Source organism: Homo sapiens, chromosome X, assembly GCF_000001405.40.
Source record: "Homo sapiens chromosome X, GRCh38.p14 Primary Assembly".
In the NCBI taxonomy this organism is placed as follows: Eukaryota; Metazoa; Chordata; class Mammalia; order Primates; family Hominidae; genus Homo; species Homo sapiens.
In genome coordinates this window covers 7,144,753-7,170,086 of record NC_000023.11, presented here as the reverse complement: position 1 = coordinate 7,170,086, position 25,334 = coordinate 7,144,753, and the positions used below count along the sequence as shown (strand labels likewise).

The 25,334-nt window shown below is 43.9% G+C and overlaps 2 protein-coding genes and 1 non-coding gene across 10 annotated transcripts in view, besides 2 other annotated features; 1 reads left to right on the top strand and 2 right to left on the bottom strand.

Annotated features, from left to right (window-relative positions):
• STS (steroid sulfatase) overlaps window positions 1-22,797 on the bottom strand; it is a 207,352-nt gene extending 184,555 nt beyond the window's left edge. Inside the window, exons 1-2 of one of the 3 annotated variants that reach the window (NM_001320751.2) lie at window positions 22,004-22,375; window positions 10,034-10,187 (exon numbers count right to left, since the gene is read on the bottom strand). The gene's annotated coding sequence lies outside the window, so the exon portion shown is untranslated. Of the gene's footprint in view, window positions 1-10,033; window positions 10,188-22,003; window positions 22,376-22,484 lie in introns of those variants that run through there. The other 2 variants (NM_001320750.3, NM_001320752.2) reach the window with 2 other exon arrangements.
• Window positions 21,455-21,504: an enhancer, noted in NCBI's record as "active region_29389". NCBI's record gives its function as "activates an Ori minimal core promoter by ATAC-STARR-seq in GM12878 lymphoblastoid cells {active_cell/tissue: GM12878}" and the evidence as "EXISTENCE:reporter gene assay evidence [ECO:0000049][PMID:35858748]".
• Window positions 21,695-22,414: a silencer, noted in NCBI's record as "silent region_20649". NCBI's record gives its function as "represses an Ori minimal core promoter by ATAC-STARR-seq in GM12878 lymphoblastoid cells {active_cell/tissue: GM12878}" and the evidence as "EXISTENCE:reporter gene assay evidence [ECO:0000049][PMID:35858748]".
• PUDP (pseudouridine 5'-phosphatase) overlaps window positions 21,934-25,334 on the top strand; it is a 442,316-nt gene continuing 438,915 nt past the window's right edge. For all 6 annotated transcript variants that reach the window (XR_007068202.1, XR_001755734.2, NM_001178136.2 and 3 more), the window contains exon 1: window positions 21,934-22,034. Coding sequence is in view for 4 of the 6 variants with exons in the window: in NM_001178136.2 (NP_001171607.1) it covers window positions 21,974-22,034 (61 nt within the window). In the remaining 2 variants the exon portion in view is untranslated. The remainder of the gene's footprint in view (window positions 22,035-25,334) is intronic.
• MIR4767 (microRNA 4767) lies at window positions 22,150-22,227 on the bottom strand. The gene has a single exon (NR_039924.1). It is a non-coding gene; the product is annotated as a microRNA 4767 (primary transcript).

Sequence of the window (25,334 nt, the reverse complement as noted above, 5' to 3'; positions counted from 1 at the left end):
GACCATTTAATCAGTATCCTCAAAGCACCCAGAACTAAATTGCTCGGGAATAGAGAAATAAAACCTATATGTTCTGTAAATTCCCATTCTCTTCACTGTTTACAAGGCCTGCCTCTTATATGCTTGAGCACTAAGTCAGCTCACCCTCTGTGGTGCCGTTTCTGGGAACCGCACCCACCCCCCAGCCCCCCCCACCAACAAACATGCCACCCATGTGTTATAATGAGTTTTTCTAGACTTAATCAGAGCTGCTTTTGACACTGCCTTTTCCAACAGGCTGCAGGGCAAACAAACGAGTCTCAGAAATGCTGATAAGTAAAGGGAGGCTTTGCCAAGTGCACCTTCCTAAGCCAAACCTATTTTCTCCTCAACACAAGTTCTGGCAGGAGATACTATAATTGCTGGATGTTCAATCAAAGGTGAGAATTGTCTGTAATGTGAGGACTTTAAAACTAAGAGATAGTAAAACTTGCTGTGGATAACAGTATGGTGGTTCCTTAAAAAGTTGAATTACCATATGACCCAGAAATCCTACTGTGAGGTATACACCCAAAATTACTGAAAATAGGAACTCAGGTATTTGTACATCAATGTTCACAGCAGTATTATTCACAATAGCGAAAAGGTGAAAGACAAAGGGATAAGCCGAATGTGGTATATCCACACAATAGAATATTATTCAGCAATGAAAAGGAATGAAATTCTGATACATGCTACAACATGGATGGACCTTAAACACCATGCTCAGTAAAAGAAGAGAGAAGAGAAAGGGCAGATGGGAAAAGAAAGGTCAGAGATCCCTCCTCTTGGAGAGCACTGAGCCCCCAGAGACCCTGTTTTCATCTGGCCACAGGGTGTATAATTCTACTTGTATGAAATGTCTAAAATAGGCAAATTCATAGAGACAGAAAGCAGACTGATGGTTTCCCAGGGGTGGGGGTATGGGAGGAATGTGGAATCGCTGTTAAAGGGTATAGGGTTGTTTTCGGTGGTGATGAAAATGTTGTAGAACCAGACAGATGGTGGTTTAATGTGGTCAATGTACTCAATATGTCAGAATTGTATATTTTACAATGGTTAATTTTATAAGAATTTCATCTCAATAAAAACAATTCAGAAAAGAGATGATCAAAGCTGAAGCTATTTTGTTAATACCATAAAGCCTTCTGATATCACTAGCATGATATGACATCCCCAAAATGAAATTTGGACAAATAAACCCTACTGTGAGTGGAAGGAGGACCCTCACTGCCCAGTTGGTGAGCAATTCAACCAAGCCAGCCTGGCACCAGACCCAGGCATCTGTGCTGTTCTTCTAAGGAACATCCTGGGTAAGGACAGAGAGGAAGGCAACTTGAAGGTGCTCGAGGAAGAATTCCCAATCACTGAGAGATGATATCCCACTGCAAGGCCTGGGTGCAGGGAAAGGAGGGGCACAGCTCATCCACCACCCAGGGCAGCAGAGGAAGAATTTTGATGGGATTCCCTGTGTGCAGGGAGGCATGAGCCATTCCCAGAAACCTGCCCACACATTATGAGGGATGCCCTCTGATCCTGTTTTCAGAGGAGCCACAGCCCCTAGACACATTCCTGAGCAACTGGAAAAAATTACTGTGATGCATTGCAGGAGACTTTGTCATGACAAGAATAAAATATTCAATTATGTAGGGGATTTTTCATGATTTTATTATCATCAAATATAAATCAATGACATTGAAATTGGCTAACTAGAGTCAGGACTGGCAACCAAAGCCAATCTTACATATCCGTTTCCCCCAGACATCTGTTTGCCATTAGGTTATCTGGTTCTCAGAACACATTTTTCCCTACATTATAATTCAGTTCCCAGGTGCACTCACACAAAGGCACTCGTGGGAAGCAGAGTTCTAAGATCGCCTTCTGGGTTTCCAGCCCCTGGTACTCACAACTTTGTATTGTTGTGAGTACAATACAACAATACACCTTCTCTTGAGTGAGGGTGGAAATGATGACTTGCTTCTAATCAATAAAGTATGGCAAAAGTAAAGGGATGTTTGTATGTGTCATTAAGGTGCCTAATCAGCTGACTTTGTGCTAATCAAAAGGCAGATGAGGACCAGGCATGGTGGCTCATGCCTGTAATCCCAGCATTTTGGGAGGCTGAGATGAGAGGATCACTTCAGGCCAGGAGTTTGAGACCAGTCTGGACAACATAGCAAGACCCTGTATCTACAAAAACTTAAAAAAAAAAAATTAGCCAGGCATGGTGGTGAGTACTTGTAGTCCCAGCTACTTGGGAGGCTGAGCCAGGAGGATGGCTTGAATGCAGGAGGTTGGGGTTGCAGTGAGCCATGATCCAAGCAACAGAGTAAGACCTTGTCTCAGAACAAAAACCAAACAAAAAAATGATCCTAGGTGAGCCTGCCCTAATAGGGCAAGGCCTTGAAAGCAGAATCCAAGCACAAGAGGCCTTCTCCTGCTGGCCTTGGTAAAATAGACAGCTCTGTTGTAAGATGCCTCTCATGAAGAGTAGTCTTTAGAAGCTGAGAGCTTCCATCCTACAAGAAGGAACAAAACTCTATCAACAACTTGGGCTGGGCGCGGTGGCTCACACATGTAATCCCAGCACTTTGGAAGGCCGAGGCAGGCAGATTACTTGAGGTCAGGAGTTCGAGACCAGCCTGACCAACATGGCGAAACCTCATCTCTACTAAAAATACAAAAATTAGCTGGGCGTGGTGGCACACGCCTGTAGTCCCAGCTACTTGGGAGTCTGAGACAGAAGAGTTGCTGGAACCCGGGAGGCAGAGGTTGCAGTGAGCCTCAATCCTGCCACTGCACTCCAGCCTGGGCGACAGAGCAAGACTCTGTCTCTAAATAAATAAATAAATAAATAAATTTTTTATCAACAACTTGATATTGAGCTTGAAAGAGGACCCCACGCTCTGGGTGAGAACACAGCCAACACCTGGACAGCACCTTGATGGCAATCTCGTGAGACTCTGAGCAGAGAACCCTGCTAAGCTATGCCTAGACTCCTGGCCCACAGTCATTGTAAGATCCTCAATGGGTATTTGTTTTAAGTCTTTAAGTTTGTGGTAATTTGCTCTGCAGTGATAAATAATGACTACAGTATCTAATCCCAAATATACATAAAATAGTACCAACACTATACAACTTAACCAGAATGTAAAACCAAGTGTTTTCAAATACAGTGATGGCTTCTATCTGGAGCCATAGGTAGTAGCTATGGGTCATGTCAAACAGGCTTACAAAGAATTTTCAGCTGGTCTTGAAGACAACCGTTCCTGGTTAGTGGTTTTCTCTTTGATTCTATGAACTTCCCACATATGCAACTGAAAAATCTCTTTCTAGGTTGGAGCAAGGTTGCACTGGGTCTCCATCATGTCCAACTAAAAATCTTCTGAGTCATGCAACCTGCAAGCTCTAGGCACCTGCAGCTATAACCTCCTAGATTAAGTAATTCATCAGTTACATGAGCTAATTTGCAATTGGAAGTTCCTGGAATCCATTTCATATTGCTAACTGTGGTGTCTACTTAGTATCATGTAAATTATTTTATATGATCCTGTCTGCCAATTAAGACAAATGGCTTTGCATATCCCCATACTTCAGTCATCCATGTGATATCTGGCAACATGGCAGGGTACAAACAAAACTCTGTGACACACTGTATAGATTGCTGGGGTTAGTTTTCCCACCGACAAAAATGGGACTCAAAAATACCTCACAGGGTTGAAAGAGAAAAGTATTAAATGAAGCAAAATATAAGATAATGCAGCCAGACAGGATGGCTTATGCCTGTAATCCCAGCACTTTGGGAGGCCAAGGCAGGTGGGTCACTTGAGCCTAGGAGTTCAAGATCAGCCTGGGCAACGTGATGAGACCCCGATTCTACAAAGAATACAAAAATTAGTCAGGTGTGGTGGTATGCACCTGTAGCCCTAGCTACTTAGAAGGCTGAGATGGGCGGGTCGATTGAGCCTGGGAGGTTGAGGGTGCAGCGAGCCGTAATCACGCCACTGCACTACAGCCTGGATGACAGAGCAAGACCCTGTCTCAATTAAAAAAAAAAAAAAAAAAAGACAGCGACAGAGAGAAAGAGAAAATGCTTTCTGTAAAATATGAGGCACCACACAAAGTTAAAGTAATGTGACTCTGTAGACTACGGCACTAGCCTAGACCAGTGGTTCTTGCCAGGGCCCAATTTGACCCCCGGGGGACATTGGCAATGTCTGAAGATATTTTTGGTTGTTACAACTTATGGACAGTGCTATTGTCATCCAGTGAGCAGAGGCCAGAGATGCTACTAAGTGTGGACAGAACAGTTCCTGACAACAGAGAATGATCTGGCCTCAAATGTCAATAGTATCAAGGCAGAGAATCCTGATTAAGTCGAAGCTTTGCATTACTATTTTTATTTTATTATTATTTTATTTTTAGAGACAGGATCTCACTCTGTTACCCAGCTGGAGTGCAGTGGTGTGATCACAGCTCATGGCAACCTCAAACTCCTAGGCTCAAGGGATCCTCCTACTTCAGCCTCCCAAGTCGCTGGGACTACAGGTGTGAGCCACCACACCTGGCTGATATTTTATTTTTTTACTTTTTGTAGAAACAGAGTTGTCCAGGCTGGCCTCGAACTCCTGGTGTCAATCTCCTCGCCCTCCTTGGCCTCCCAACACATTGTGACTATAGATGTGAGCCACCATGCCCAGCCTGTTACTCCTTTTAAAATGCTTTTTCTAGACCAGTGGTTCTCAACCAGGGGTGATTGTGCATTCCAGGGAATGTTGGACAATGTCTGGAGTCATTTCTGGCTGTCACAGCTGGAAGGTAGATATTGGCCATCACAGTCCAGCAAAGCCACTAACACCCCACACTGCATAGGACAGTCCATCCCACAAAAGGGAATTATCCTGCCCCAAATATCTAGTGTGCAGAGGATGAGAAATTCTGTCCCAGATGTACCCATACTTCAATAAAGAACAATTTTTCTTTCTTTTTAACAAACCAAATAAGGACTTGGTAGTTGTTTTTGTTTGTTTATTTTTCATTGTTGAGAGAGGGTCTTGCTCTGTTGCCCAGGCTAGAGTGCAATGGTACAATCAGTGCTCACTGCAGCCTCAACCTGCCAGACTCAAGCTGTCCTCCCACCTCAGCCTCCCAGGTAGCTGGGACTACAGGCATGTGACACCACACCTGACTCTTCTTTTTGTGTGTGTGTGTGTTTTTTTTTTTTGTAAAGATGGGGTTTTGCCATGTTGCCCAGGCCACTCTTGAATTCCTAGACTCAAGCAATCCACCCACCTCAGCCTCCTGAAGTGCTGGGATTCCAGGCGTGAGAGCCACCATGCTTGTACTTTTGTTTTCTTTTTTTTTTAATGGAATTTAGCCTTTCAACAATGAAGAAGTGTCTTTTGGTTTAATAGCCGCAAGCCATAGAGTCCCCAGGTCTGGTCACTCTGTCCCCCAGATTCGTGTAAATGGTTCTTTGCATCTTAGGTAATTGGCTGGGAAGTGGGGGCTGGGAGCTACTTACAAGTGGGCCCAGAACCAAATGACACAGCTATTCTGCCCAGCTTTTCTGGCTCAATTTCAGTTCCTGAGTGTTCTCAGGTTATTCTAAAGCTTAAAGAGTACAGAAAAGGAAGGAGGTTTTACATAATGGAAGCTGCATCCGAGGACACACAGAAGCACATGATGATACCATAAACCAAAAAACAACAGCACCATCGGGTGGTCAAGGTCACAAGAAGTTAAGAATGAACCCTTTTCCACTTGCAATTACATTCTCAGGCCCATAGTCTTGAGATGGAAACTTTTGAGAAAAGGTGTGTGTCAGAATGCAGAATGTTTTGGGTTTTATAAGGTAATGGTGAATATCTCATGTCATATATAATAGCTCAAGCGAAGTCTTGGACAGCAGCCTGTGGTCACCCATGTTAACAGTTTTGCAGTGAGGCTGGGCACAGTAGCTGACGCCTGTAATCCCAGCACTTTGGGAGGCAGAGGTGAGCAGATCACCTGAGGTCAGGAGTTTAAGACCAGCCTGGCCAACATGGTAAAACCCCGTCTCTACCAAAAAATACAAAAAAAAATTAGCTGAGCATGATGGTGGGCACCTGTAGTCCCAGATACTGGGGAGGCTGAGGTGGGAGAATTGTTTGAACCAAGGAGGCAGAGATTGCAGTGAGCTGAGATCGAGCCACTGCACTTCATCCTGGTGACAGAATGAGACCCTATCTAAAAAAAGTTCTGCAGTGAAACAAAATGAATACCCACAATCTGTGGGATGAATGAAGACTTTTCACTTTATGTTAGTTTTATGTTAGTTGGTTCGAGCTGGTGTCACTGCCAAGTATGTTAGAAAAACTCTGGGTTTTCAATGTTTTTCTTTTCTATTTTTGGTTATGGACAAAGGATTGCAAACCTACATTTCTGAAGGCAAGATTTGAAAAGAAGTGGTAAAGTCCTGTGGGCTGAGAAGTCAGGTACTGGAAAAGCCACCTATGCTGAACAGAACCTTGGCCAAGTCACTTGGATGTGGATAGCTCCAGAGTTTCCTCATAGGCAGAAGAGGTGACAAGTTGAGACCCAGGGAATGCTTGCCCAATGACCCAGGTCAAACCAGCTGTGACAAGCTCTAGCAAAAACACAGAGCTGCCTGGCCAGCTGGAAAAAGAGCTGAGAACAGACTCAAAACAGTGATCTCCACACCTCTTCTGTGATCCCAGATGCCGGTTCTTATCTGTTTCCAATTTGGTGATTCTACACAAGAGACAGTTTTGCAACCCAAGAAACATCTGGTGATATCTGGAGACAAGCTTGGATGTTATAACTTAGCAGTGGGTGGGAGGTGCTGCTGGCATCTGCTGGGTGGAGCCCAGGGATAATGCTCAGCACCCTATGGTGCACAGGACAGCCACCACCAGAGAGTGACCCAGCCCCAAATGTCTGCAGTGCTGAGGTTGAAAAACCCTGCTCTAAGTAAGCTCTGTCTCATGCATTTTTTTTTTTTTTTTTTTTTGAGACGGAGTCTTGCTCTGTCGCCCAGGCTGGAGTGCAGTGGTGTGATCTCGGCTCACTGCAACGTCTGCATCCCGGGTTCAAGCAATTCTCCTGCCTCAGCCTCCTGAGTAGCCGAGATTACAGGCGCGCGCCACCAGGCCCAGCTAATTTTTTTTTTTTTTTTTTTTTTTTTAGTATAGACGGGGTTTCACCATGCTGGCCCAGCTGGTCTCAAACTCCTGACCTCGTGATCCACCTGCCTCCGCCTCCCAAAGTGCTGGGATTACAGGCGTGAGCCACTGCGCCCGGCCAGTCTTACACATTTTAAATGCTTATTTCAGGCCAGAGATTGTCATCCGGGAGGATGATTTTACCTACCAGGAGACATTTGGCAACATCTGGAGATATTGTGGGTTGCTGCATCCTACCACGCACTGGATAGCCCCTACAGCAAGGAATCACCCAGCCCCACGTACCAACAGTGCCTCCGTGGGGAATCGCTGGATAGACAAATTCATTGTGAAAGAGAACGTCCCAGTCTCTATCTCTAAACTAAAAATCTCCCAGTCTTGGAACCGCCAAGAGGAACCCGGGACCCTAAGCCATCTCTGTTCCATCCCCCTGGGCTTTCTCCCAGACCTCACAGTTGAAGGTGCTTCTCCTAATTAGCCCTGTGCCAAGTCTCTGCCCTGCACTTCCTTCTCATAATAAGCATTTAATTATTATTGACATTGGTACTTGCAGTATTTATACTGCTTGTTTTCCTTCACAGAAAACACCTGAGGTGAGACTGGACTTCTGCTTCATCATTGCCACATCCTCTGTTACCTGTGTCCCTGGGGCACTGGGGAAGTGCTTGTTGACTCAGTGGCCAAGTTTGACAGGGGTTAATTTCCAACCAAGGCTCGAATTTTAAGGAGAAGACAAGATGGAAACAAAACAATGGTGACAGAACCTGGTCTAGAAAGCATGGCTTAGGACTTTTGGCCATAAACTCTTAATGCTTATTTTATTCAAGCTTTTAAGGGATGCTCAACATCTACTATTTAGGTTTTTAATGCAAAGAGGAGTCATTATTATCTTTTTTTCATGCACTGAAAGCTTTTAGATTTCTGTCTCCTGATATCAGCTGTGATGTGATAATCTCATTATAAATGAATATGGGGCAATTTCTCAGTTGGCAAATAGTAATGTCACTATAGATACCAACTCACAGGGTACTCAGTAAAGCATTGTCATGTGTTCCTTGAGACAAAGAGTACCTACAGTAAATGACACGAAATGGAGCAAACTTTCTGTAAAATAATTTTAACACTTTTAGTGATATTATTTTCAGTGAAAATTATTTCTAACATTCCTCCAACTCAATCTGCTCGGGTTGGCACAGAAGACAAAACTGATGTGTACATGAAATATGTTGATACTCTGATAAGAAGTAAAGTAAGCATGAACTGGACATCTTAATTCATTATAATTGCTCATAAGATAACAGAGAGTTTACTTGAAAGAGATCAAAGGAATTTCTTAGCATCTCTCTTTGGGGAAAAAATCATCCATTTGGTTGGTTCATAATTACTAGATTATGTACAGCATGCATTGCAAAAGTTAAATTGTTTTTGGATGTTCATTTTCTGCAATTAATATAAATTTTCAGAAAACACTAACTGATCTCTGAACTACATACCCATTCTTCAGTTAACCTAGTTCTTTTATAGAGATGATCTTACATACACAAGTATACTGTAAAAAGTGCAGTAATAAACACCACATCTTAAAACCAACATAGCCTGTTAAGAAACATTTGGCTTCAGCCGGATGCAGTGGCTCATGCATGTAATCCCAACACTTTGGGAGGCCTAGGCAGGCAGACCACTTGAGGTCAGGAGTTCGAGACCAGCCTGGCCAACATGGCAAAACCCCATCTCTACTAAAAATACAAAAAAAAAAAAAAAATTAGCCAGGCATAGTGGCACATGCCTGTAATCCTAGCTACTCGGGAGGCTGAGGCAGAAGAATTGCTGGAACCCAGGAGGTGGAGGTTGTGGTAAGCTGAGATCGCACCACTGCACTCTAGCCTGGGAGACAGGTCGAGACTCCATCTCAAAAAAAAGAAAAAACAAAAAGAAACATTTGACTTCATGCATGGTCCTGAGGATAAACTGAGAGATCTACGTGTATGCCCCTCTAGAAGTAGGCATGTATGTTCTTTTTCCACTCTTTAGGATACGTATTTCCACTCTTTAGGATACATACATATTAACATTACAGATATTGAATCTGTATATTTAAAATGAAAAAGAGTGAAACAACTGTTAATTCCTTCTCAAATTCATCCTTTAGAAAAGCAGTAAGTTGAAAGCTTAAAATCATGCCAATCTTTCAGGGAATGCATTGGATGGCAAAGACATCTCCCGCATAGACATCGTATCTAACTCAGAAGCAGTGGGTGCAGTATTTTCATATATGAGGTTAATTGATTTAATTTCTCTTTTGTGTAAACTATAGCACAAAATCCACCACTTCCTTTGCTCATTTCCTTTTAGGATTCTTTCCTCTAAACTCCAGTATTCTTTATACCAAGCTTGTGTTTTCAAACTACCACTCTAATCCACAAAGACAAACTATTTGGCAATTACTTTCTTCTCCTTATAGACAGCCTTGTTTCAGGGCAAATGAGCAAATGAAAACATATTAGATAAATTGTTGTAGGTGGTTTTACAGATATTTTCTTTAATGTAACACTACAGATAAAAAATGTATAAACTTTGATCAGTCCCACAGAAGAGAATTTAAAACTCCGCCTCCCAGAGCAAAGACTTGGCTCTTCTACTTATTCAATTAACTCTTAACATGCTGCTCTTGGGCTATTCCAGGAAGGGAAATAAATAGAAACCTTTAGACTTCCTTTGAAGCAGTGCAACTAAAGTAAATATTCCCCGTAAGCAATTTTCTGTCATCACGTATCCCAACATCTTAGCAGCAGAGAAGAAAAAATAATAATCATATTAAAAATGTAACTCACCAGTTCTTACAAGGCTTTCAGAGAGGGCTCTTTACTGGAAGACTCAAGACACTTTGTACGTCTCCTTCAAGGATCTCAAACAGCTTTTCATACCATCACATTGGACAAGTATCCCAGCCGAACGCTCATCGTGTGTGAATAATCATTTGACAGCCTGGGCAGTTATATTGGAGCATCATTGGCAATAAAGTCATCACTGAGTAATCAGCGAATCTATCATAAAAAAGTTATTTAACTGCATGTATTTCTCCACCTGGCCTTCCTCTCCCCCAGTGCCCCACACATTTTTAACATCACTCAGAGGGAAGCTGGACTTCCTTCACCAACTCATCACTTTGGAGGAGCTTTGGGTGCCAGCCCTGAATACTTAACTGCAATTCTTATTCACCTATTGACTCCCTAACCTGGAAAACAATCAGGAGTTCACTGAGAGCACTTCCTGTAGGCACTGAATTTTGCATTGCATGGTGCGCAGCAAGGAAAGGGAGCATGTGTTGAGGAAGAAGAGGGAGGCTATATAATGGTGGGGTGGGACAGACAAACAGTGATGATTATTTTTTCGATGAACAACATAGGACGTGGTTTTAGGATGAGAAGAGCAAGGGTTTTGTTTTTAATGATCTGTGGAGAGCCTGATGTGCCTAAGCCTTGCCAGCCTGTTTGTTACGTGAGTTACACATACAACACAGTGCCAAGAGCCCCAAGGAATTCATTCTCTGTGTCAATACCACAGGGTTGGGCAATGAGCAGGGCTACCACTCAGCAGGGAGGTGTCCCATCAACGCTGATGAAACAGCAGGCAGTCTTCTGACCACACACCTTGGGGGAAAATCACACCCCAGGAAAAATAACCTCCAGTGTTTCTCTTTTATTAGTTTCCTCGTGTTGTTTGTTTTTACAGCATTTAGGGAAAAAGGAAAGGGAGAAAGAAAAAAAAAAGCCTAATCTGAGTCTTTGCTTCTATAAATAAAAAATTGCTTATTTCTAATTATTTTGTGTGCCTCTGGCTCTCAGTAGGCACTCAAATAATATATAAAGTAGCAGTGTTAGCCCATTTTCTAGTCTTAATAATAACTAAGGATTTGGGCATGCTGAAACCTGAAAAGTATTTTAACATGAATAAATACGACTCGGATTTTACCAAAAGGCCATGTTTTGTCTCCCAGGGTCTCTGTAAAACTTACTCATTGCAGAAATGTCTTATACCAGCTAGTGGTCAAAATTCCAGCACATCACATGATGTTTCTGGTCACTGAATGCTTTCAAGATCAAAGTTAAATGTCGAATGAAAGGCTAAATCTCTGCAGCTTTAATTCCAGAGTAAGACTTCCCTTTCTCCCCACCCTACCCCCAGCTAAGGCATGCTTTTCATGGTCCTGAAACAGAGGGCACACACGGGGAAGCTTCTGGCTTTCTCAATTGTCATCCTCCCTCATTCCCCCTGCTGTGGTTACTGATCCCTCCACCTGGAGAGTAGCAGGAAAGGAAGGCGAAAAGGAGCAGAAGGTTTGTTCTTCTCTCACTGGTCCTGTCATGTGAAGATTTCAGGCAAAGCTGAAGGGCATTTTCTTAAGTTCTTGGAAGCCAGGACAGCTGGATCACCCCCATTTGCAACTCCTGAGATGCGGGCGATGTTGTCTCTTCCTCCAACTGGTTTTCAAGTGGCGCCTCTCTGCTGGAGTTTCCTCCTCATCCCAGCAGATTTTGTGGGGCAAAAGTCCAAATCATTAAGGTTATCTGGTTATGCATATTTGTTTGAGGGACTCTGGAAGTGCAACCTAAATCAACTCCCCCTAGTCCTCGAGATCAGAAGTCTCTAGAGCAGATCAGGCAGGGATCAGGTGCCACCCACCTAGGTCCCCCAAGAGATGCACAATCAAATATCAACCTCTCTGAGGAGTGTCGCTGAAGCCTCAACATTGGACTGAGGCTAAGAGAGATGCATGCCATGTCATTTGTTTTTATTTCATTTAGGAAACAAGAAAAAAGAAAGCCTAACTCCACTGGGGAGGAGGCAGGGCTATAATGCCACAGAAACCTCTTCATAAGCCCCCACTTCTCTCCTTGCTGTGAGGCCAGAGATCCATAGGGTTCCTGGTTATCTACATGGAAAATTCCTACAGAATGCCATTTTTTTCCATCTCATTTCATGATGCTGTCAAATGAGTATCCTGTTACAATAAATATTTCCCAGAATAATTTGTCTTGATATGTGGATGGAGGACTTTGGAGTCAGACAGACATGGCATTCTGATTCCAGCACCCACTAGCTGTATGACCTCCAAAAAGTGCTTAATCACTTGGGGCACCAGCTTTCTCACCAGTAAGGCAGGCAGAAGCATACATCTCAGGCCCCTCTAATCAATAACCCTTTATTGATTAGATATAATGTCCCAGGGCATGGTGCCTGGCCAAAAGAAATGGATGATCCTTTTTGGCAATTTTGAGAAGACAGAAGTGAAAAGATTTTACTTTACGAGCTATGAAAATTACTGTGCTTTAAGATCATGAAAAGCACAGACTTTGGTATATGAATCCACGTAGATGCTTAATGAAATTGTTCAGAGTTGAACCTACCTGATGTTTGACATTCCTATAACTGTGCCAACCATCAGTGGCATTGCACAGGAACCCTCAAGCTAACACTGGGCATGTCTTCATACTTGGGCCTCTACCCAGAAAGAACCCATAAGAGAGACTGTTGGTGGGAAATCCTGGAGTCCCACAGAAGAAGGGCACATGCAATCAGAGATGAGCAAGGGAACACTTACTCTCAAAGACTCGACAGGCAGCAGTCACATGAGCAAAGATCGAGGCTTGATAATTAGGGCCCTGAATCAAGGAACAAGCATCTCAATGCAAATTGGGCAAGTGGGATGAGAGCAACACGGTGCTCACAGAAGGGTTCTCCTCTTAGCCATGCAGAAGGAAGAGACCTGGAGCCCCAGAATCCAGCTTATAGTCTCCCTATTGCATCATCCACTACTGCACAAGACAAATAGCAGTGAGCTCTGTATACATTCAGTGGGCTCAAATATTCTCCTCCAAGCCATTTGCCAGCTTCATAAAGTCTAGAAACATTAAAACACCAAAAGTGCTCTCAAATCTCTGGTTTGGGGACCCCCTCCTTGTCTATTAAAGTAAAGGGTATGGCACAGGAAAGGGCAAAAACATGTGGAAAACCCCAGAATTCCTCCTATGTGTGTTACATGGAACATGGTTGGGGGCAGATCAAAGAAGGAACACAAAAAATCATGAATAGTTTCTAGGTATTTTTGCATATTTGTGGTTTTTAATTATCATTCGCTTCCCATTTTGCAGGAGCAGATTTAATCACAGCCACTGCATTTCCATGTTTCAAGTTATAGCTTTATTATTAAACCAAAACCCAAGTCCTAGTAAACTACCTTTCTTTAACTGGCATCCTAGTTTACACCAGGAGGAAGGAGTCATGGAAATTTATTGCCTCTAAGATTCTTTCAGAGTGGTTTAAATGGCCCTAGGAAATTGACTTGAAATAGATGCTTCCAAATGTTATTGTTTACGCACTAATACAACAGCAGCCAATAAACATATTCAATTGAAATGTGCCCACAAGAGAAGAAAATACATGTGTTGTACCTGTTTGACCCACCTACTTCACTTAGCCTATTAAACAACTCTCAAACCTGTGCAATTATATATAAATATATATACACACATATATTATATATAAAGACCTTTCACCTGAAGATTGTTAAAACCACACATACATCCAAAGAGAAGCAAGAGCCAGCCAAAAATAAAAAAACCCACACATGCATGCATCTATATGTGTGTATATATGTAATAAATTTAAATCATATATACAATAACTCCTCACTTAACAATGTCAATAGATTCTCAGAATTTTTTTTTTTTTTGAGATAGGTTCTCACTATGACACCCAGGCTGGAGTGCAGTGGCATGATCAGAGCTCACTGCAGCCTCGACCTCCCAGGCTTAAGCAATCCTCCCATCTCAGTCCCCCCAAGTAGCTGGGACAACAGGTGCATGCCATCACACCCAGCTAATTTTTGTATTTTTTTTGTAGAGATGGGGTTTCACCATGTTGCCCAGGCTGGTCTTGAACTCCTGAGCTCAAGCATTCCACCTGCCTCAGCCTCCCAAAGCGCTGAGATTATAGGCGTGAGCCTCCATACCTGGCTGATTCTCGGAAATTGCAACTTTAAGAGGAACGATATATAGCAGGTTATTTCATTCAACATCATTTTGTTATAAAGTTGATGAGAAAAAAATTGGTTTTGTTATATGTGGCTTTGCTTAAAGTCACAGTTTCCAAAAACCTACCAACAAGTGAGAACCTACTGTAATCACCTTTCTTCTTAACTTTCTTAAAGCCATGCAGTTGCATTGTTTGTAATATAATATTTAACATATACATTTGTGAATATATACAAACTAAATATATTTAAGTTATATATAAAGGCATTTCCTCAAGTTTATAAAAATCATGCACACCAATATATTATTTATATAGATTATATAACATATGCATGGTATACATATATACATATAAACATAATCTGTTCCCTTTAAGATTCTTAAAATCTTAACTATTTGAGGTACCTAAGATTCTCATTCTCTGAATTTTACTCTGTAAATTTAGTCTGCTTTTCCAATGTGTTTGGTGTCACGCTGACTTGGCAAAATCCCACAGCCTTACTGAATGATTGCTTCAAGAAAGTTGGTGGTGAGGCAGAATGTAAGTCAGAATGGACCCTATGCTGAACAGTAGTCTGGTATTTCTAAAGTGTGTTTGAAGGAGATATTATGTTCTTTTTAAAGAGCATATGTGATGGTCCCTGTTGAGTAAGTTTGGGAACTGTTGTGTTAAAAAAAAAAATGGGAAGACCATCGTTGACCACAGAAATGGGAGAGTTTCAAGTGAACACATGGCTGTGAATTGAGGAGGCAAGGACTCATTCAGCACATTTTCCAGGCTTATGTGATCATGGGGAAGCTGAAGGGAGAGGCTGTGCAACCAGCTTTCTGTTCCCTCCAGATGTTAGCTTGCACCAAGCAGCACAGGAGTTGGGTGCAAGTAAAATAAAGGAGAAAAATTTCAATCCTAGAAATGACTGGTTGGACCACGTTATCGCTGACATGCCATACTGACATCATAATTGAAGAAAACAAATGTTCCTTGTTTATTTTTTGAAGCTTCCTTTTCCTTATTTTTTTTTGCTGGTGTTTTCTAGAATACTTTTTTTCCCTTTATTTGCACATTCACTCCTGTGTTTGATTTTGATATTATCTATTCACGTTGTGGTCCTGATTGCTTACATACAACATAAGAAATTTTGAAAACATATAGGAAACATATTAATAGATAGTTTTTGCCTTTTGGCTCTTTTTGAGGAAGGAAGACCAACAGAGGTTGAACTCTCCACCCTGATCGTTTTCAGGTATATGACTTGTGGCAAGCTACCTGACTTTCCTCAAGCTCCATTTCTTTATTTCTATAAGAAGAAGAATTCCATTGTTTACCTTGCAAAGTTGCCGAGTCAATGAAGTAACAGATCATTTATAAAGTTGTAAGTACATCATAATTATTTGAGGGCTGGTGGCTATTACAACAGTTGCTATGAAACAATGAGCCAACTTTAACCATAAACGAATCACTCTTTCATCTCAGACTCTCAGCATGTGGCCTTTATAAACACTTCGGAGAAGTGACCAGTGCACTAAGCAACTTGCATAAGATGTGACAGGAACTCAGAGCCTTGCAGGTGGGCATGTGGTTTATTCAGAAGCAGAGACGACGCAAGGCGCACATTAGAGATGGCATTCAGCTCTCTGCGTGGTGAGCTCCAGCTGTGATTCCATTCAAGGAGAGAGGCTTCAGCAGGCAGGGCCAGTGGGTACCCCTCTTTGTGAATGTGGTACAAGACACAGCAAAGGCCCAAGTTGCTGACATCCCCATTTGTATCCATTATGGGTGCACAAACCCCTCACAGGTCCTGGAGAGAGGGAGCTACGCCAGAGGAAATGTCAGGAGGGAAAGAAAAAAGGAAAAGAGGGAGAGAGGGCAGGAGAGGGGGAGGGAGTTTAGGAGGAGAACAGGAAGACAGGAAAAGAGAGAAGAAAGAAAGGAAGGGAAGGAAGCAGAGAGGGAGGGAGTTGAGCAGGAGGACAGGAAGGAAGGAAGACAGGAAAAGAGAGAAGGAGGAAAGGAAGGGAAGGAAGCAGAGAGGGAGGGAGTTGAGGAGGAGGACAGGAAGGAAGACAGAAAAAGAGAGAAGGAGGAAAGGAAGGGAGGGAAGGAGAGAGGGAAGGAGTCGAGGAGGAGGAGGACAGGAAGAAAGACAGGAAAAGAGAGAAGGAGGAAAGGAAGGGAGGGAAGGAGAGAGGGAGGGAGTTGAGGAGGACAGGAAGGAAGACAGGAAAAGAGAGAAGGAGGAAAGGAAGAGAAGGAAGCAGAGAGTGAGGGAGTCACGGAGGAGGACAGGAAGGAAGACAGGAAAAGAGAGAAGGAGGAAAGGAAGGGAAGGAAGGAGAGAGTGGAGGAGAAGAACAGGAAGGAAAACAGAAAGAGAGAAGGAGGAGGAAAGGAAGGGAGGGAAGGAGAGAGGGAAGGAGTCAAGGAGGAGGACAGGAGGAAGACAGGAGGAAAGGAAGGGAAGGAATGAGAGAGGGAGAGAGTGGAGGAGGAGAACTGGAAGGAAGACAGGAAAAGAGAGAAGGAGGAAAGGAAGGGAGGGAAGGAGAGAGGGAAGGAGTCGAAGAGGAGGACAGGAAGGAAGACAGGGAAAGAGAGAAGGAGGAAAGAAAGGGAGGGAAGGAGAAAGGGAGAGAGGGGCAAGCAAGGAGGGAACTGTTTGGAGTCAGGAGCCCTAAATCTCAGAACAATGAGATGATAAAGGGTGGGGTGTGATGAAGCCTGAGCCCCTCTCTCAGATGTCCAGTCATGTCTAGTCAGTGAGAATCCTGGCAGGACAGAGGAAATTCGAATGCATGGTAAGGTCTGACCACATGCTTCACTTCTCCACATTTTTGGAGCACACATCCTCCCTTCACATGTGCTATTTTAGAATAGTGTGTGTCTACTTAGGCACTAACATTACGGATATTACGAAACATGATCTGTAATCATTAGTGAAGGCTATAAAGCTGATGCTGGAATTTCTACTTTCTTGTTATTAACTGGAAGCTACATTTTATTATTTTCATAGGCATGTCTTTAATCCCTCTGTCCATTTTTTGACAGTTGATTTAAAAATTAAATAATATAAGCCATAAATACACTTTACCTTAATATGTACATTGCATTATGCTGAAATCAAATAAAATGGTTGAGAGCAATGATGTCTCCCCTCCTCCCTGCAAGGATACCTGGAGAAAAGACCAGGACACAAGAACATTCGCCAGTGTTCACACAAATATTAAATGTTAGGGCTGGGTGCCATGGCTCCTGCCTGTACTTCCAGCACTTTGGAAGGCCAAGGCGGGCGGATTACTTGAGGTCAGGAGTTTGAGACTAGCCTGGCCAACATGGTGAAACCCCGTCTCCACTAAAAAATACACAAGTTAGCTAGGCATGGTGGTGGGCACCTGTAGTCCCAGCTACCTGGGAGGCTGAGGTGACAGGATCGCTTGAACCCGGAAGGAGGGGAGTTGCAGTGAGCCGACTTCACGCCACTGCACTCCACCCTGGGCAACACAGTGAGATCCTGTCTCAAAAAATAAAATAAAATAAAATAAAAATAAATCTTGGTAAACTTAACACATTTGCTACTTCTTTACATTAAAATAATAATCCTGGCCGGGCGTGGTGGCTCACGCCTGTAATCCCAGCACTTTGGGAGGCTGAGGGGGGCGGATCGCAAGGTCAGGAAATCGAGACCATCCTGGCTAACATGGTGAAACCCCGTCTCTACTAAAAATACAAAAAACTAGCCAGGCATAGTGGCGGGTGCCTGTAGTCCCAGCTACTTGGGAGGCTGAGGCAGGAGAACGGCGTGAACCCGAGAGGCGGAGCTTGCAGTGAGCCAAGATCGTGCCACTGTACTCCAGCCTGGGCGAAAGAGTGAGACTCCATCTCAAAAAATAAACGAATAAATAAAATAACGATAATAATAATAATCCTAAGCCCCCTCCCCACAATGAAGTAGCTGGTATACCCCAGGAGGGGGTCAATGGTCTAGACCATTGGATGCCCTGGTTGAAAGGCAGATGCTGAGTTGGTCAGTCTGGGGGTGGCAGCTGGGATTCTGCATTTCTAGTGAGCTCCCAGGGGATGCTGGCACTGCCAGTTCCGACCACATCTGTTATCCAACACTGCAGAGAAGCAAACTGGACCTCTCGCTCAGAGCCAGTTTGCACTCTGATGGTGAAGGGGTTCAAAAACAATGACCCTCCCCACACAAAAATACCAGATATGTCCGAGAGTACAAAGCCAGGAGTGGCGAATTCAGCCATCTATGTCAGGCTCCCTTCCAGAGCTCACTGGGCTTGGAGGAAAGCAGCAGCGGGAAGGGGTGAGAATATTCAGTGCCTCTGAAGCAAGAGACTTCCTAAGTCAGCGTTGCAAAGCCAGCTATCTAGGGGAAGAAGGCAGGTAAGTCTGCAATGAGGAGCTCAAATTCAGGCCCCATCAGATGAAGTCAGAGCTTTCTGGTCTCTCAGCATCATCAAGAAAAGTAGACTGTGTACAGCCACTGAGAAAGATGGTCCCTAGTCCAACCTGTTACCCTCCATCTACGCTGGGCAAGATTTGTACCCCTAGAAAAGTAAAGAGAATAACAGGGCAAAGTGGGCTCACAGAAAACAGATACAGCAGACTGGAAACCAAATACAACAGATAACAAAAGCACAGAGACACAGGAACCAGGACAACAAACTAAGGAAGTTGAAATAAGCTAAGACTCCCTACAGGATGGCATATATATACACACAATAAATGGCATGTTTAAGTTTACATGTTGTGTGAAAGAAGAGCATCTGTTTATTTGTCCCATTGATAATGTGCTTTTGATGCCATCGTACTGTAGTTTACTGGATCATTTCTATTGTGTCTTAAAATTGTCAGGAAAAGTAAGTTATTGTCCCATGGGGAGAACACAACTGTACAAAAGTAAACTGTAATTCATGGAAGGAAATGCATCCCCATCAGCATAGAAACTGCCCATCTTTGGCTGTTGGAGAATTATGAAAAGCTAAAAACTAACTTGTTATATGTGTACAAACCACATTGCTAGAACAAAATTTCATTCTTTTCCAATCTAGCTTGTGACAGAGAAGCATTCACCATTCAGTTTGTTTTTTTTTTTTTAAGCAAAGAGGAGTCTTCCATCTTATGCATAGAAGTGATGTTACTGAAAAGTGTAGAAAATAAGACTGATAAAAACATAATGTGAAGCATGTTTTCACATCTGTGGAGAGCTGAAGTACCTACGATTTCCCAATCTGTCTCTTCCACAATCGCTGTGAGGCTTTGCCATTTCGTCAAAATGGCATTGGGGCCTTTTTTCCTTTGAAAAATACTCTTTTTTGGCCGGGGGCGGTGGCTCACGTCTGTAATTCCAGCACTTTGGGAAGCCGAGGTGGGCAGATCACTAGGTCAGGAGTTCAAGACCAGCCTGGCCAACATGGTAAAACCCCATCTCTACTAAAAAATACAAAAATTAGCTGGGTGTGGTGGCTGGCGCCTGTAATCCCAGCTACTTGGGAGGCTGAGGCAGGAGAATCACTTGAACCCAGGAGGCTGAGGCTGCAGTGAGCAGAGATTGCGCCACCGTGCTCCAGCCTGGGTGACAGAGTGAGACTCTGTCTCATAAAAGAAGAAAGAAAAAAGAAAAATACTCTTTTTTAATTTAATGACTAAACAGAAATGTGAGGTGGTTACAATACCAAAAAAATAACAGTAACTCTGACATGTGTGCATCCATTTGTTTCCAGAGAATGGAAGGAAACTGGGAGGGAGAATTCTACAGACTCCAGGTGGGAAATACTGTCATACTTACTGTAGGTACCACAGCTATGTGTGTGCAATGCATCTATTATGGAATTGTGTTCCCAAAAATATATGTTGGAGTCCTCATCCCCGCTACCTCAGAATGTGACCTTATTTGGAAACAGGATTTTGTCAGAGGTAATCAAATTAAAATGTAGTTATTAGGGTGGTCCTTAGTCCAATAAGAATCGTGTTCTTATAAAAGGAGAAAATTTGGACACAGAGACACACACAGAGGGAAGACGATAGGACAAGATACAGGGAAAGGAAAGCAGGTTCAAGCTGAGGAGAAAGACCTGGAATAGGTCCTTTCCTCACAGCCCTCAGAAGGAATTAAGACTGCTGACATCTTGATCTAGGACTTCTGGCCTCCAGATCTGTGACACAATACACATCTGCTGTTTAGGTTACTTAGTCTGTGGTATATTACTATGGCAGCTGTAGTAAACTAATACAGAAACCACGAACGACTGTATTTGAGGCGCAAGTCCCTACCTAATTTGCTCATAAATTGCCTTCTCTGAAATCCCGTGTCCTCAAAGGGAAATCACGATTGCATTAAATGGGGGAAGCTCTCTTATAGTACCACCTCTAAGAACACATAATTTTATTGACTATATATTATGCACTGGTACTAAGGGCTTGGCCTGCCTCACCTCCTTTATCACCTCCATTTTACCCAGGAGGAAACAGACACAGGTGCACTTTGTCTATCATAGATAATAATTCTTGCTGAATCCAGGCATGCCCCTGTCCACTATGTCTGCACTAAACTAGAAATACACTCTCATGTTTACACCTTTTTTTTTTTGTCTTTTTCCCCTTTTGTGGAGAACAGGGTCTCGCTATATTGCCCAGGCAGTTCTTAAACTTCTGGGCTCAAACTATTCCCCCAACTCCCACTTCTGCCTCCCTAAGTACTGGGATTACAGGTGTGGGCCACTGCGCCCAGCACACCCTCACGTTTTTAAAGTCTTGAAATTCTCCTATTTCCGCTTCTCAAAAGGTCCAATCCTTTTCCTTAAACGTGAATATACCACATAAACGAACACGAAATAGAAACAGGGACAAAAAAGTATTTTTTTGACGATGGCAAACGGGAAAAAAAAAAAAGAAAGCTGTTTAGGTGGCATTTGAAAAGTTAAAAAAGAAAGAAAACTCAGAGCAGCCCAAAAGACAGATGATACCTAAGAAGGCACAACCAGCAAGACATGTTGACTGTTAGTATTATTTCAGCATCCTCCTTGAGCAGCTTGGCTTTGCTCTGGGACAATGCACCAGCCTGGGATGCTCAGAGATGCAGGCACGGAGGTTGTGCAGCCTCTCCGCACACTGCGCATGCGCGGCTGCCGGTTCAAGTCGCGGTCCAGGACCGCAAGGAGGCGGGCAAGCGAAACTGAGAAAAACCCACCCACGGTCCAGGGACTGGGGGCTCGGGCGAACCCACCCAGGGACCTCCTGACCAAGGCCATTTGTCTGCAACCTGATGGCTAGAAGTGATACCACCCTGAGCATCTTCAATCCCCTTTCCCCACTCTACAGCCCCTTGTACTGTCCCTCCTTCCTCATTCACACCCCTGATCCAAACTCAAGCACTGAATTTGTCCCCAGACGAGGGCCTCGGCTCTGCGCGGCCGCTGGCTGAGTAGCTTGGCCCGATTCCGGGTGTGAAGTGAGGAGGAATTGATGCGGGTAAACATACAGCGCCGGCCCGCGCCGCATCCCGGGTCTGCAGCTACAGCTGCGGCGAAAGCCCAAGGTGCGCGTGCGCGGAGCGCCACTAGGCAGCCCAGGACGCGCGGGCTCGGAGCCGGGCGAGGGGCCGCGGAAGGCGCGTGCGCAGAGCGACCCCGGGCGCGCGAGAAGGTCCTCAGTGCGCGTGCGCGGGGCGGGCGGGTGCGCGCGCACTTCCTCCTCGCCCCCACCCAGACCCAGAAGGCGCCACCATGGCGGCGCCCCCGCAGCCCGTCACCCACCTCATCTTTGACATGGACGGACTTCTTCTGGGTGGGTAGTGTGCAGCCGCCGCCTCCAGTAAGGGCGGTCTTGTGTGGGCGTGGGGACGGTCGGCGCGGGGTACGTCACGGCCTGGGGGCCGCGGCGGGGCGGTGTTCATGCAGGGACGCTCGGGCTCCCGCGCGCTCTGCCCCCGGCTGGCCCCGAAGTCGGGCGGCGGCCAGGAGCGCCCGCGGGCCCATGTCCGGGCTGGCGGGCGCGCGTGGCCGCGGCGTCTACGCGGCCCCAGCACCCGCTTCCGGTCGGCGGCCCGCGCGTGGGGCCGGAGCACGTGGGAGCAGTCCCTGGGGTCCACCGGGCGGGCGCGCGGCTCCGCGTCCTCTCCTCAGAGCGAGGCGCGGCGGGACCTCCGCGCTCTCTTTTCGGTTACGCATGCGTGCGACCTTGAGCGGTGCCCAGCCTCAGCTTCCCCGTCTGCAAAGTAGCCTGGAGGATACTTGCCTGCCTGCTCCAAGGTTGCTGCTGTGGGCGCACTTTGATGGTAGCATCCTGCATGGTAGCGGTTCTCTACCTGGCGGTTTTGCAGCCCTGAGGGCATCTGGCAATGGCGATGTCAGGAGACATTTTGGCTGTCACAGCTGGCGAGGAGTGATGGGGTCACTGGCATCTAGTGGAGTCCAGACCAGTGATACTGTTAAACTTCCCGCAGTGCACAGGAGTGCCCTATGCAACCATAAGGAATTATCCCGCGCCGTCAACAGTGTAGAGGCACAGAAGGTCCGTCAAGTGGCCTGGCTGCCTAGGGTGACCAGCACCGGGGACATCACCTGTGGGCTACTTGTAAATGTAGAAGCTGGGGCCCCACCCTACCCCTGCCCAATCAGAATCTGCATTTTAAGCGCGTGAACGTTTGAGAACAGCTGCTCTATCAATCCGAGGCATTAAGAAACCCTTGGCAGTGTACTAAGGTAGTCAGTCTTAGCACATGTGAACTTCACCAGCCAAGAGGAATTCAAGTAGAATTCAAAGAATAAAACCCTGTTTTTAACTCAAGACAGAACTATGCTGAGCTCTACCGAAAGCCTTGACACAGTTAACACTATGACACATAATCACCAGGAGGCTTCATATATCTATAAACATGTCTGCATACTCTTTGTAGACAGCTGACCTGCTTGGTTACGTATATCATTCCTTCATTTCAAAACCCTGCAAGTTAGGAGGAAGTATTTGCATGTCACTAATTAAAAAAAAAAAAAAAAAAAAAACCCTGCAGCTCAGAGAGGTAAAGCTACTTGCCCAAGGTCACACAGCTAATAAGCCAAGCTGAGAAACGATTCTGGATTGATCCAGTTCTAAATATAAATGATGTTGAGCTCATCTTAAATTGTGAATGTGACCTTGTTTCTGCTCATCATATTGCTGGGTAATTCCCTAGCAGTGTTTCCTTTTAAAAAGGCATGCAGAAACCATTCTCTTCATTTTATGAACACAGAGGTGTAAACTGATGAATTCCAAAGGAAAAAAAAAATCCCCGTAGAGGTCACTAATTGGAGCCAACGGTGTATGCAGCTACTAAATTTGAAATGACTCAATTTCAGAAAGCTTGTGGGATACATAGGTATAGTTTGTAGACATGAATTTTCCTACTCCGGTGGTCAAAAAGTTAAATTGTCAAATAAATTTCTTATCCTCTAATAAAGGTCCAGAGAACCTGTTCTGGGAGTCTCATGAATTTTAATACCAAACAAGATGTCTCATTAAAATTAAATTTATTAAACTTCTAAATGAGCTTGGTGCCTAATTCTGATTCTAGATTCACACATAGCCATGCCCTGAAGTGATGAATGTGACTTAAATGGCATTACAAGCATTGACCTCACATTGTTACCCAATCCTCTGATCTAGTCAGATAACCAAGAATTAGTGCTATTTGGAAAAATAAGCCCTGCTTCTTTTTATTCCCCCCCCTCATTTTCTGCCCATTTCCTCCTTTCCTGCCCTACCTCTTCTTTGAGGTGGTAAGGCCTTGCAAAACTTTCTTGGAAATATACCTTTGTTTATCCCATTCTTTCACCAAATGTGTAAATATAAAACACAGCTTTCCAAGATGTGCCACTTTAATTTAATCTACCAGATTATGCCTGCTGTCATTCTTTAGCACCTCACTTCAGTGTATCTGTTGTTTGCATAACAATATACTATCAATTTATAATGAGTTATTTTACAATAGGTCTGTTTTTCGGGAATTTTGAATGCATTTTTCTAGGAAGTTCTGTTTGTCTATGTAGCCCCAATACTTGCATACTTGGGGAAGTAAAATTGAAAACGAATAGTTTCATGGAGGATTGTTAACATTAGAGGAGAAGATTGTTTAATCAGAGGAGAATGAGGAAGTAAATGGAGATTTTAGAGGAAATGTTGACCAGGAAGAAAGCCAGGACACTTTCCCATGCTTTTGACATGCACGATGCTGTTAGTTGTCCTTTAAAAAAAAAAAAAAATACACTTCGGTTTCTGTTTCTCATGACCAAGGTAAGAGTCAGTTATGATTTAGGTAATATTAATAATTTTGGCTCTCAAATGCCATTCAGAGAAAGAGAGTAGGGGAGTGGGATTAGTTAAAAACTGGGATGATTTTGAAATAAGAAGATGACAATTATTAAACAGTATCTCAGCAGCTGGACAGGGAAGATTATTCTGTTTGTAAATAACTGAAATTAGGAACACAAAAGATGGTCCCAATTTCTTTAAAAGAGAAGACAGTTTGTTGTCCAGAGCAGTTCTGTCTCATAGAATTGAGCCAGGTAAAAATTTTGGGGAGCAATTTTTAATAAGTAAAAAGATACAGATGACATTGATTTGGATGATGTATGTTATGTAACCTAATGTATCAAAAATATTATTTAATACAAAGTCAGTATAAGAAAATCTTTGAAGTGTTTGACATTAATTTTGATACTAGGTCCTCAAAATCTGTGTGTGTTTTATACATACAACACATCTTAGTTTGAACTAGCCTCATTTCAGGCACTCTGTAGCCTCATTTGGTGGGTGGCTACTGGCTTGGACAGCATGGGTCTAGGTCTTTGTGGAGCAACCCAAGATGTCTGTTGATAATGGCTATGCTGGGAGGGTCAGGCAGAGGGTGGGTGTTAAGAATATTCAGAATTAGGAGTTTTGGTGTATGTAAAATGTGGTATGTGTAAAATGTGTTTTCTTGGAGTCTAATACAGAATTATTTAAAATCCTTTTAAAATCAAAGGAAAATAAGCTTATTTCCAGTTTCTTAAATATCGTAAAATAATAAGGTAGATCTGCGAAGGGTAATAAGAACATTTGCAGTGTTGA